Consider the following 14,346-nt stretch of genomic DNA (forward strand, 5'->3'; position numbering starts at 1 on the left):
GACTCATGCTACACCTAGATGCCTATACTCTTATCCACAAAGTACATCTCTAACTAATCATAACATCCTTACTCAACTAACCTGAACATGACCTCCTAAATTTTCTCAAGACAGTGCTGCAGGAGGTCTCTAACAATCCATGAGGGTTAGCATAAGACTGGAAACCTATTTGCTACCCCACGTGTTGAGAGGTTCTCTGAATAATAGCACCCTATTTTCCTATAACCTGATAGTATATTCTCAATGGCAGCTTCTGAAATTGACTTCTAACAGTAGATCACTTGCTGACTTTATCTTTAAGTGGAAAGAGAAAACTGGGGAGAACTAATCAGCAGCACTTCTCCTGGTTGTAGCAACAGGCATCAATGATTTCCTTATCCTTCCTTTGTGGCAAATGTATGCCACTACTGATACTTTCTAAGGATGGGGGCTTCTAGAACTTTTCCTGTCAGCTAATATTTTAAGATCATCATGGGTCTCTGACATAGATGTTGCTTTCTTTTTAATGTGATCAACCAATGTTGACTTTTATTTGCTTCATCTAAAAACCAGCCCCAGCAAGTTTCTTTTTAGCTGTCTTTAGACAACTACTTACAAAGAAGAGTCACATACTAAAACCTATTTATAGACAATGTCCCCCCATCATTTCTACTAAAATTAACAAGTCTGTGCCATACCAAATCAGGCTCCTAGCTATTCCTTGGTCTATCTTTGGTCATATTTTTATAACCTGCACCTTACAACAAGATTAGCTCTCTTACGGAAAAAAGAAGACATTCACCCCTACAAGTCGCAACATAGAGCCCATGATTTCACCTGGCGGTGCGCAAGCTTTGGGGAAAATGGCAACTTGGTAAAAGTACAAATTCTTCACATACCCTCTTAAAGGTACTGTGCAGAAATAACTGTTGAAAATCACCTTTATAAATAACCCTGGTGCCCCAAATAATTACTCAGAGTGCAATCTATATTTTAAAAGTCAGTTAAAAATTACATATGTTGGGGGGAGGAGCCAAGATGGCCGAATAGGAACAGCTCCAGTCTACAGCTCCCAGCGTGAGCAACGCAGAAGACCGGTGATTTCTGCATTTCCATCTGAGGTACCGGGTTCATCTCACTAGGGAGTGCCAGACAGTGGGCGCAGGTCAGTGGGTGGGCGCACCGTGAGCGAGCCAAAGTAGGGCGAGGCATTGCCTCACTCAGGAAGCACAAGGGGTCAGGGAGTTCCCTTTCCCAGTCAAAGAAAGGGGTGACAGACGGCACCTGGAAAATCGTGTCACTCCCACCCGAATACTGTGCTTTTCCAACGGGCTTAAAACACAGCGCACCTGGAGAATATATCCTGCACCTGCCTCGGAGGGTCCTATGCCCACGGAGACTCGCTGATTGCTAGCACAGCAGTCTGAGATCAAACTGCAAGGCCGCAGCCAGGCTTGGGGAGGGGCACCCGCTATTGCCCAGGCTTGCTTAGGTAAACAAAGCAGCCTGGAAGCTCAAACTGGGTGGAGCCCACCACAGCTCAAGGAGGCCTGCCTGCCTCTGTAGGCTCCACCTCTGGGGGCAGGGCACAGACAAACAAAAAGACAGCAGTAACCTCTGCAGACTTAAATGTCCCTGTCTGACAGCTTTGAAGAGAGCAGTGGTTCTCCCAGCACGCAGCTGGAGATCTGAGAACCAGCAGACAGCCTCCTCAAGTGGGTCCCTGACCCCTGACCCCCCAGCAGCCTAACTGGGAGGCACCCCCCAGCAGGGGCACACTGACACCTCACACAGCCAGGTACTCCAACAGACCTGCAGCTGAGGGTCCTGTCTGTTAGAAGGAAAACTAACAAACAGAAAGGACATCCACACCAAAAACCCATCTGTACATCACCATCATCAAAGACCAAAAGTAGATAAAACCACAAAAATGGGGAAAAAACACAGCAGAAAAACTGGAAACTCTAAAAAGGAGAGCAACTCTCCTCCTCCAAAGGAACGCAGTTCCTCACCAGCAATGGAACAAAGCTGGACGGAGAATGACTTTGACGAGCTGAGAGAAGAAGGCTTCAGACGATCAAATTACTCTGAGCTACGGGAGGACATTCAAACCAAAGGCAAAGAAATTGAAAACTTTGAAAAAAATTTAGAAGAATGTATAACTAGAATAACCAAAACAGAGAAGAGCTTAACGGAGCTGATGGAGCTGAAAACCAAGGCTCGAGAACTAAGTGAAGAATGCAGAAGCCTCAGGAGCTGATGCGATCAACTGGAAGAAAGGGTATCAGCAATGGAAGATGAAATGAATGAAATGAAGCGAGAAGGGAAGTTTAGAGAAAAAAGAATAAAAAGAAATGAGCAAAGCCTCCAAGAAATATGGGACTATGTGAAAAGACCAAATCTACGTCTGATTGCTGTACCTGAAAGTGACTGGGAGAATGGAACCAAGTTGGAAAACACTCTGCAGGATATTATCCAGGAGAACTTCCCCAATCTAGCAAGGCAGGCCAACGTTCAGATTCAGGAAATACAGAGAACGCCACAAAGATACTCCTCGAGAAGAGCAACTCCAAGACACATAATTGTCAGATTCACCAAAGTTGAAATGAAGGAAAAAATGTTAAGGGCAGCCAGAGAGAAAGGTCGGGTTACCCTCAAAGGGAAGCCCATCAGACTAACAGCAGATCTCTCGGCAGAAACTCTACAAGCCAGAAGAGAGTGGGGGCCAATATTCAACATTCTTAAAGAAAAGAATTTTCAACCCAGAATTTCATATCCAGCCAAACTAAGCTTCATAAGTGAAGGAGAAATAAAATCCTTTACAGACAAGCAAATGCTGAGAGATTCTGTCACCACCAGGCCTGCCCTAAAAGAGCTCCTGAAAGAAGCGCTAAACATGGAAAGGAACAACCGATACCAGCCGCTGCAAAATCATGCCAAAATGTAAAGACCATAGAGACTAGGAAGAAACTGCATCAACTAATGAGCAAAATAACCAGCTAACATCATAATGACAGGATCAAATTCACACATAACAATATTGACTTTAAATGTCAATGGACTAAATGCTCCAATTAAAAGACACAGACTGGCAAATTGGATAAAGAGTCAAGACCCATCAGTGTGCTGTATTCATGAAACCCATCTCACGTGCAGAGACACACATAGGCTCAAAATAAAAGGATGGAAGAAGATCTACCAAGCAAATGGAAAACAAAAAGGCAGGGGTTGCAATCCTAGTCTCTGATAAAACAGGCTTTAAACCAACAAAGATCAAAAGAGACAAAGGAGGCCATTACATAATGGTAAAGGGATCAATTCAACAAGAAGAGCTAACTATCCTAAATATATATGCACCCAATACAGGAGCACCCAGATTCATAAAGCAAGTCCTGACTGACCTACAAAGAGACTTAGACTCCCACACATTAATAATGGGAGACTTTAACACCCCACTGTCAACATTAGACAGATCAATGAGACAGAAAGTCAACAAGGATACCCAGGAATTGAACTCAGCTCTGCACCAAGGGGACCTAATAGACATCTACAGAACTCTCCACCCCAAATCAACAGAATATATATTTTTTTCAGCACCACACCACACCTATTCCAAAATTGACCACATACTTGGAAGTAAAGCTCTCCTCAGCAAATGTAAAAGAACAGAAATTATAACAAACGATCTCTCAGACCACAGTGCAATCAAACTAGAACTCAGGATTAAGAATCTCACTCAAAACTGCGCAACTACACAGAAACTGAACAACCTGCTCCTGAATGACTACTGGGTACATAACGAAATGAAGGCAGAAATAAAGATGTTCTTTGAAACCAACGAGAACAAAGACACAACATACCAGAATCTCTGGGACGCATTCAAAGCAGTGTGTAGAGGGAAATTTATAGCACTACATGCCCACAAGAGAAAGCAGGAAAGATCCAAAATTGACACCCTAACATCACAATTAAAAGAACTAGAAAAGCAAGAGCAAACACATTCAAAAGCTAGCAGAAGGCAAGAAATAACTAAAATCAGAGCAGAACTGAAGGAAATAGAGACACAAAAAACCCTTCAAAAAATTAATGAATCCAGGAGCTGGTTTTTTGAAAGGATCAACAAAATTGATAGACTGCTAGCAAGACTAATAAAGAAAAAAAGAGAGAAGAATCAAATAGATGCAATAAAAAATGATAAAGGGGATATCACCACCGATCCCACAGAAATACGAACTACCGTCAGAGAATACTACAAACACCTCTACGCAAATAAACTAGAAAATCTAGAAGAAATGGATACATTCCTCGACACATACACTCTCCCAAGACTAAACCAGGAAGAAGTTGAATCTCTGAATAGACCAATAACAGGAGCTGAAATTGTGGCAATAATCAATAGCTTACCAACCAAAAAGAGTCCAGGACCAGATGGATTCACAGCCGAATTTTACCAGAGGTAAAAGGAAGAACTGGTACCATTCCTTCTGAAACTATTCCAATCAATAGAAAAAGAGGGAATCCTCCCTAACTCATTTTATGAGGCCAGCATCATCCTGATACCAAAGCCGGGCAGAGACACAACCAAAAAAGAGAATTTTAGACCAATATCCTTGATGAACATTGATGCAAAAATCCTCAGTATAATACTGGCAAAACGAATCCAGCAGCACATCAAAAAGCTTATCCACCATGATCAAGTGGGCTTCATCCCTGGGATGCAAGGCTGGTTCAATATACACAAATCAATAAATGTAATCCAGCATATAAACAGAAGCAAAGACAAAAACCACATGATTACCTCAATAGATTCAGAAAAGGCCTTCGACAAAATTCAACAACCTTCATGCCAAAAACTCTCAATAAATTAGGTATTGATGGGACATATCTCAAAATAATAAGAGCTATCTATGATAAACCCACAGCCAATATCATACTGAATGGGCAAAAACTGGAAGCATTCCCTTTGAAAACTGGCACAAGACAGGGATGGCCTCTCTCACCACTCCTATTCAACATAGTGTTGGAAGTTCTGGCCAGGGCAATCAGGCAGGAGAAGGAAATAAAGGGTATTCAATTAGGAAAAGAGGAAGTCAAATTGTCCCTGTTTGCAGACGACATGATTGTATATCTAGAAAACCCCATTGTCTCAGCCCAAAATCTCCTTAAGCTGATAAGCAACTTCAGCAAAGTCTCAGGATACAAAATCAATGTACAAAAATCACAAGCATTCTTATACACCAACAACAGACAAACAGAGAGCCAAATCATGAGTGAACTCCCATTCACAATTGCTTCAAAGAGAATAAAATACCTAGGAATCCAACTTACAAGGGATGTGAAGGACCTCTTCAAGGAGAACTACAAACCACTGCTCAAGAAAATAAAAGAGGATACAAACAAATGGAAGAACATTCCATGCTCATGGGTAGGAAGAATCAATATCGTGAAAATGGCCATACTGCCCAAGGTAATTTACAGATTCCATGCCATCCCCATCAAGCTACCAATGACTTTCTTCACAGAATTGGAAAAAACTACTTTAAAGTTCATATGGAACCAAAAAAGAGCCTGCATCGCCAAGTCAATCCTGAACCAAAAGAACAAAGCTGGAGGCATCACACTACCTGACTTCAAACTATACTACAAGGCTATAGTAACCAAAACAGCATGGTACTGGTACCAAAACAGAGATATAGATCAATGGATCAGAACAGAGCCCTCAGAAATAACGCTGCATATCTACAAGTATCTGATCTTTGACAAACCTGAGAAAAACAAGCAATGGGGAAAGGATTCCCTATTTAATAAATGGTACTGGGAAAACTGGCTAGCCATATGTAGAAAGCTGAAACTGGATCCCTTCCTTACACCTTATACAAAAATCAATTCAAGATGGATTAAAGACTTAAACATTAGACCTAAAACTATAAAAACCCTAGAAGAAAACCTAGGCTTTACCATTCAGGACATAGGCATGGGCAAGAACTTCATGTCTAAAACACCAAAAGCAATGGCAACAGAAGCCAAAATTGACAAATGGGATCTAATTAAACTAAAGAGCTTCTGCACAGCAAAAGAAACTACCATCAGAGTGAACAGGCAACCTACAAAATGGGAGAAAATTTTTGCAACCTACTCCTCTGACAAAGGGCTAATATCCAGAATCTACAATGAACTCAAACAAATTTACAAGAAAAAAACAAACAACCCCCTCAAAAAGTGGGCAAAGGACATGAACAGACACTTCTCAAAAGAAGACATTTATGCAGCCAAAAAACACATGAAAAAATGCTCACCATCACTGGCCATCAGAGAAATGCAAATCAAAACCACTATGAGATACCATCTCACACCAGTTAGAATGACAATCATTAAAAGTCAGGAAACAACAGGTGCTGGAGAGGATGTGGAGAAATAGGAACACTTTTACACTGTTGGTGGGACTGTAAACTAGTTCAACCATTGTGGAAGTCAGTGTGGCGATTCCTCAGGGATCTAGAACTGGAAATACCATTTGACCCAGCCATCCCATTACTGGGTATATACCCAAAGGACTATAAATCATGCTGCTATAAAGACACATGCGCACGTATGTTTATTGCAGCATTATTCACAATAGCAAAGACTTGGAACTAACCCAAATGTCCAACAATGATAGACTGGATTAAGAAAATGTGGCAGATATACACCATGGAATACTATGCAGCCATAAAAAATGATGAGTTCATGTCCTTTGTAGGGACATGGATGAAATTGGAAATCATCATTCTCAGTAAACTATCACAAGAACCAAAAACCAAACACGCATATTCTCACTCATAGGTGGGAACTGAACAATGAGAACACATGGACACAGGAAGGGGAACATCACACTCTGGGGCCTGTTATGGGGTGGGGGGAGGGGGGAGGGATAGCATTGGGAGATATACCTAATGCTAGATGACGAGTTAGTGGGTGCAGCGCACCAGCATGGCACATGTATACAAATGTAACTAACCTGCACATTGTGCACATGTACCCTAAAACTTAAAGTATAATAATAAAAAAAGTCAATAAAAAAAATAAATTCCATTTCTCTTATGGCAAAAAAAAAATTACATATGTTATTCAGCTTGATTTAGCCTTTCCATTAAAAGTATTTCTGGATTTTAGATAAATATAGCAAAGTATAATCTATAGAATATTCAAATTTGCTGAAAATTTGATAAAACAAAATACATTCATATTTTATTTTAATACCCAAATTTAGATATTAGAAGGAGTCTAGTACTCAGTCCTTTTCATTTCATATTTCCAAAAGTACATTATGGTAATAGCTCTCCAGTTGTGATGATCATGAACCGTGGTTTAAAAAAATAACACACACACACACACACACACACACACTCACGAATTCAACCAAGAAACTATGTAACAGAGGACGAAAAAGATATTGGAACTACAACTACTAGTAGGGGATGTTGAAATGATGCCAGTTCACAAGATTTTGCTCATTTCTTGAATACAATTCCAAAATCAATCAATATCAAAATGAACACAAATGACAGCAGATAATTCAGACTCTTGAAGAAAATGTCATACCCCATAGATCTTGGTTAAGTAATCCTTTACTGCTAATGATGGCCAGCCATGTTCTCTTAATTTTTTTTTCCATGTTCTCTTAATTAATCTTTATCCCATTCTACCATTTCTTTATCCTTTTCCTAATTTCTTTATTCATACTTTGCTTTCCCTATGTTTTCAGTCTGTAAAAATCTTTAGGTGAGCACAGTTTCTTCTGTTTTCCTTCTGTTTGAGCCATTGACTGAAGCTGAAGTTCCTATAGCAATGAAGATCCTCAAATAAAAATAAAATTTATTGTTATAAGAAAAATTCTGTTTATCAAGCTATTGTTAAGCATGTGCCAAGTCCTTTAGAAAATTCTAGCTAATTGACCACTGTGCCATTATAAATATTACTTTTTTAAAAGATTAATTCCTATAAGTAATTCTAGAAGGTTCTAGCAAATATTGCTTATTCTGCCTTCAACCACCCATAACAATTAATATGGACAAAGACACTAACATGTCTCACAAGTGCTGTCTCCTAACACGATATTTAATTTCCTGTAGGCAAGGATATTATTATAGTTTGGATGCTCTGTCCCCTCCAAATCTCATGTTGAAAGATAACCTCCAATGTTGGAGGTGGGCCTAATGGCAGGTGTTTGGGTCATGGGGGGCAGGTCTTTCATGGATGGGTTGGTACTGCTACTGTGGTAATGAGTGAGTTTTTACCCTATGAGTTCATGTAAAATCTGATTGTTTAAAGAACTTGGCATCTCCCTTGCTCCCTCTTGTCATGTGATATGCCAGCTCCCCTTTTGCCTTTTGCAATGACCATAAATTTCCTGATGCCTCATCAGAAGCTGAGCAGATGCTGGTGCCATGTTTGTACATCCTGCAGAACTGTCAGCCAAATAAACCTCTTTGGGTTACTCAGTCAGTCATTCCTTTATAGCAATGCAAAATGGACTAACTCAGATATATTTAGTATGGCCTATGGACTCTAGCTCTTCTCTAAGATCTTTGCATTTGAAATGTAAATTCTTATTAAATCCAACAGATAACACTTCAGAAATTATCAGAACATGGAATATATTGTTCAGAGAGTGGAGTAAGAAGACGTTTAAATGGCACAACAACCAGGGAATAGACAAAGCCTAGAAAAGTTTATCATAACATATCGGCTTTCTCGAGAAATGACTGCTTTTCAGAGCTTTTCTTCTTTTTAATCAATACATTTTTTATTAAACGTTGTCTTTGTTTTCCAAAGCTGGTTCCTTAGCAACAGCTTCAAGGACTCCTTCAGTAAAAACAGCCATTTTTAGATTCGGGTCAGTAGTAAAAATTCCTGGTTTTGGTCAAGAATACCATGAATCCACACAGTTTTGGATATACTTAAAGTGAGATAAATGAGAAGATTCTAGAGCATACATTTTGGATGAATGATGTAAAGAAATTTAAATGGTTTGAGGTGTGGATTAACTTGTGAATGTCTGGATATTTCATAAATTTATGTTGAATTTTCAAACTTCTGACATTCAAACGTCATTAATCATGACATTTATTGCAGCCATTAGTGTCTCATTCAGGGCTGGCCCACATGAAAAGTAATCTGATTTCCTGATTTACTGATGAAAATCTCTTTGTTACTCAATAGGATAAATTATTTGTGCTCTGAGTGTTTCTATTTAGACACTATATTATTGTCTCATAAAACGATGTGATGGAACAGTTACTGCCAAAAACAGCATAAAATAAGCAACTGTTAGGTTTTATGTGCACACAATTAGAAAGTGATTCCATTACAAGTTAATTACAGAGATTAATTCCTATTTAGAATCTGTCACAGAGGTCAAATACATAAATTTTATTCTTAGAGTTTACCTGGAGAGATAATAATGAATTTCAAGTAATTTGTTACAAACTTTATTTTTAAAAACTTTGGGAGTGCTCAAGTGTTGTGTGCTTTGCAAAAGTAAAGCACTAATTTCAAGTCTTTCCCAGGGTATAAATGCTTCCACTAACCACAGGGATTGTACCAAAAGTCACTGCATATAAACCCCTCTTTGAGACTTGTGTGTCTGCAAATAGGTCGTTACATATAACAAGCAACGTCATTGGTTTCCTCTCATGGAGAACAGGTATTCTTTAAAAAAGCAGCAAAGTCTAATTGGAAAAAATAAATTTCAGCTGTGATTGTTCTGACCTTGCCCTACTCTGGTGGTCTTGAGCTTGGTCCTGTTTAAGCTTGGCTCTGCTCTGGGTATACCTTGACCTTGGTTCTTTTTGAGGAATAAACTGACCAGGAGTAAACAAAGTGTCGATTCTCTTCTACTCTAGACTTGGACCATTTCAACAAGACATGAAAATAGAATAGTTCATTTCTTGAAATACATTTATTTATTAAAACCACACATTTTCATAAAGAAAATATATCTGTAGACAAATAATTGTCTCCGAAAGATGTTCACGTACTAATGTCCAGAATCTAGAAATATGTTACATAGCAAAGGAGAATTAGGGTAGCAAATAGAATTATGGTTGTTAATCAGCTGGTATCCTGGACCATCTGAGTGGGCCCAAAGTAATCACAAGTGTCCTTGAATGGGAATAGGAGGGCAAAAGTGTCAGTGGTGGAGTGCTGTGATGTGAGAAAGTCTCGACTGGCCATTGCTGGCTTGGAAGATGAAAGAAAATCACAGTCAAGGACCTTTCAAAACTGGAAAAGGAAAGGAGATAGATTCTTCCTAGAGCCTCCAGAAAGAACATGATGCTGACATTTGATTTGAGCCCAAGGAGATCCACTTTGGGCTCCAGAACTCTAAGAAAATAAATGTGAATTGTTTTAAGACAATGTATGCAATAATTTGTAGTAACAGCAATAGAAACGAAGACAGTGATGAATAGGAGAGCTAAGACAGTTCTAAGGAGAAAAAACATTACAGAAGCTCCTCTATTTGAATTTTGAAAGATTGGTTGCAAGTCCATTTGTTCATTAAGTTCAAAATTACGGAAACTACCACCAGTGCCATCAGTTGAGTGGTGACAGGGGTGATATCCTTTGTTCTCAGACAGAACTTTATTCTTATCTATGAAATTTTGTAAACTGAAAGATTGAAAATAGAGGTGCTTTTTAATGTTACAAACAATAGTCCTTTGCCTGGAGCAATACTTCCTATGTTGTACTTGTCTCAGACTAAAGAAATTGTGCTCAGAATTGGGCATATTCTTTATCTCCATTTCTGAGCTTGCTATGCTCACAGGATTTGACTCTGAAAACAGCTCCATCATCTTCCCCAAGGGCTCAACCAAGCCTCTCCTATTCCACTGGAGCCACTACATGCAAAGAAGGCACTGACTGCTAGCCTAAATGCTTTTCAGGTTATTTCATGTTATGATTTTATTTAAAATAGTAAAATAAAATTAAAAGTATTTCTTTCTAACTCAGCCCACGCCCCCCCCAAAAAAATATATTGGCCAACGTCCTAATTCCCTAGCCTCTAACCACCTTAAGCTTCTACTTCATGTGTTTATAGAACTGCAGCTTTCTTGACCTTTCCAATTATTCAGTTTTTATTGACCTTTGCCCTTCACAATCTTACCAAGAATTTCTTGGTTGGGCAGCTGTTGTTAGCTTCTATAATTCTAACCATATCTATACACTCATTTATTCTATATATTTAGTGCCTACTGTTTGCCAAGCATTATTCTGAGTCCTGCAGTTGCAATATGAATAAGAATGATAAAATCCTTGCCCTTATGAAATGTTTATGTTCTAATGGAAATGGGGGACGATAGAAAATAAACAAATAAACATGTACCTACATATATACATACATAAAGGATTGTGATTTCAGGTGGTGATACTTGGTGTAAGTGAAATCAAACCATGGGAACCAGAGTGATGTAGAGGAGATTACTTTAGCTAAGATGGTATCATAATTATTCTGAATTTTTAAAATATATATTGTATTTCATCATTTCTTACTTTCTGCTGTCCCATATTTCCAGATAATTAGAAATGAGGACTAAGCTCCGATTTTTTATCTTACCCAAATTCCTACCTAAGGGGTCTAGGGAGTCATGCTCTATAAACCAGGAATTCTCATCAGATGGGTTTTATTTGATCCTATATATTGTGACATACTTTTCAATCTGACTCTGGCATAACATTATGAAACAAGGAAAAAAATATTTAACCCCAAAATACATTTCCTTGACATACCTTGAAATTGCCCTGCAAAGTCTCTTGGGGGAAAAGTCCATATTCTATAGAGAATCCCCTTCCCCCTTTGTTTTCCTTCTTTCCTTCCCAGATCCAGGAGACAATCAACTAAGAGCCAGGCACCCTTTCAAGTTCGATAAAAAACAATTTACAACCTGCTCTTCTCTAAAGTCTGCTATCTAAAAGCTTATCTGCACAATGAAACTTGGTCTCCACAATCCTTTATGTTTACCCTGAACATTCCTTTCTATCAATCCTAGGCCTTTAGACAAACTCAACCAATTGTCAACCAGAAAATGTTTAAATTTACCTATAGCCTGGAAGTCCACCCCCCACCCACCCCAGTTTGAGTCGTTCCGCCTTCCCAAACCAAACCAATGGATTTCTTAATAGTATTTTATTGATGTCTCTTGCCTTCCTAAAATATATAAAATCAAGCTGTACCCTACACTTTGGGCACATGTTCTCAGAACCTCCCGAAAGCTGTGTCATGAGCCATGATCACTCATATTTAGTGCAGAATAAATCTTTTCAAATATTTTATAGAGATTGACTCTTTTCATCAACAGAGAATATATATATATAAACTGGCATTTTAGGTGAAAATAATGATTAGATTGCATATACTAATGCACACAAACAGAAACACACAAATCTTCACTAACCATCAACCACTAAAGCAGTCACTTACACTACCTTAGATTTTACAATTCTGTTAATTTTTATTACACCTATTCTCTTTTTATCGACTTAAAAACCATCCCTACCCTTTTAAACAAGAAAACTTTGTAACACATCTTATAGAAGGAATAACTCAAACTCAAGTACCCATCCAGTGGAAAAATAACCATTGAAATAAAATCAAAATATATAAACACAAGTTGTTAAATTAAGTTTGAAATATTGAAAATTAGCCAGACTGTCACTCACACAATAGCACCTGTATAAGAATATAATAATAATTTAATAATTTAATAAAGAAAGTCCACCCACATGGGAAAAGCAATTTGGCCAACTTTGATTAAAAATGGATTAACTTTTTACAAATTAGCATTTATGAATAAATGACACTTTTATGCAAAAGCATTCTCCATAGACAAAATATGCTGATTTTATACATCATACAAACAACCAAAACTAAAAATTGAAAAGAAAAATTCATCACAGATTAAAAAGCTATCTCTTCTTGTGCATTTAAAATATAATTTGATTTTTTAAATCTAAATTTATGCTTTTAAAACAAATATGCTATTAACAAAAGTCATAAAAAACAACATGTATGATATATACATATATAACAATGTATACAAAGTATGATACACTAAAATATTAATGACTTTTCTTTGAAGTCTTAAGTTTACTGTTAATGACAGATTCAGAAATAGCTTTCTAAACTATAAACAGCCAGAGAAGTGTCATTGCTCTATTAACCTGTTCTATATTGTCTTTTCTGCCACTCAAGAGCTAGCCTAAATGTAAACTGGGTACATTGCACATATTTTGGGTTATATATGTGAAATATTTTTAAACAAATATTCTTTCAAAAGACAATAAAATTGTTTACATGTACTTCTGTGTGTTTTATGAAGTAAATATTAGCAATAATAGGCTTCATAGCTAGCTATTTAAATGTAAAAAATATCTTGCCATTTGCCATTAGGCCATTTAAAAGAAAAAGAAAAAGTTTCTAGTCATGCTGTAAAATTTGGGATGGATGCCTTGAAAATACCTAAGGTAGAATTAGATCTTTTAGAAATGGAACAAAGTCTAAAAATCATTTAGCCTCTATCCACACGTTATAGATGAGGAAACTGGTTTACAGATATGTTAAGGGTTTTGATTCAAGTAATTCAAGTAATTAGTGACATCATGTGATTAACTTCATGACCCAAACTCTGAGCCTGGGTCTTTTCCAACTTCATCATATTTTGCTGTACTCATTGTGAAACAGGAGAGTTCCCTGACCCCCACTTGCAGAACATGCAACAGGGGTGTGGCTCTCTGTTCAGCCACCACAAGCTCAAACCCCTTACGGGACGGGAAGCACGCAGATGGGCAGGTGCAGGAAATGAGGGGAGCTCTTTTGGGCTCTGGCCCCACAGCAGCATCTAAGGGTAGGAGTCTGAGACTCCCAAAGCCCAAGTGGGTGTGTGTTACAGTGCACTCTTTTAGCCTTGCCATCCATGGATGGCTTAAGGGTTAACCAGCTCAGTGGACCCTCTGCCTTTTTGCAAGGGCAGGGGACGATTGTGCCAGCTTTCTGTATCCCAAGATCTTGTCCAGCATCCCAGAAGACTCAGGTCACACACGGACTTGAAGGATGAATATGGGGGTTTTATTGAGTGGTGGAGGTGGCTCTCAGCAGGCTGGATGGGGAGCTGGACAGGGAATGGAGTGGGAAAATGATCTTCCCCTGGAGTTTGGCCATCCAGCAGCTAATTCTCCGACTGTCCCCAGCCAAACTCCTCCTAACATTCCTTTTCTTCTCATCCTCTCTGCCACACCATTCTGTTGTTTGTCTGTTCGTCTCCTCATCTGCTTCTGGAGCCTGGGGTTTGGGATTTATATGGGCATAAGATAGGGGGCATGGTGGGCCAA

General features: G+C 38.5%; 1 protein-coding gene across 5 annotated transcripts in view, besides 2 other annotated features; it reads right to left on the reverse strand.

Moving 5' to 3' along the window:
• MARCHF1 (membrane associated ring-CH-type finger 1) overlaps nucleotides 1-14,346 on the reverse strand; it is an 859,722-nt gene that overhangs the window by 616,508 nt on the left and 228,868 nt on the right. The window lies entirely within an intron of this gene.
• Nucleotides 680-1,269: an enhancer, noted in NCBI's record as "H3K27ac-H3K4me1 hESC enhancer chr4:165062637-165063226 (GRCh37/hg19 assembly coordinates)". NCBI's record gives its function as "activates a minimal SCP1, AML or CMV promoter by ChIP-STARR-seq in naive H9 embryonic stem cells {active_cell/tissue: H9 hESC(naive)}" and the evidence as "EXISTENCE:reporter gene assay evidence [ECO:0000049][PMID:30033119]".
• Nucleotides 1,270-1,859: an enhancer, noted in NCBI's record as "H3K27ac-H3K4me1 hESC enhancer chr4:165063227-165063816 (GRCh37/hg19 assembly coordinates)". NCBI's record gives its function as "activates a minimal SCP1, AML or CMV promoter by ChIP-STARR-seq in naive H9 embryonic stem cells {active_cell/tissue: H9 hESC(naive)}" and the evidence as "EXISTENCE:reporter gene assay evidence [ECO:0000049][PMID:30033119]".

Source organism: Homo sapiens, chromosome 4 (assembly GCF_000001405.40).
Source record: "Homo sapiens chromosome 4, GRCh38.p14 Primary Assembly".
Taxonomy (NCBI): Eukaryota; Metazoa; Chordata; class Mammalia; order Primates; family Hominidae; genus Homo; species Homo sapiens.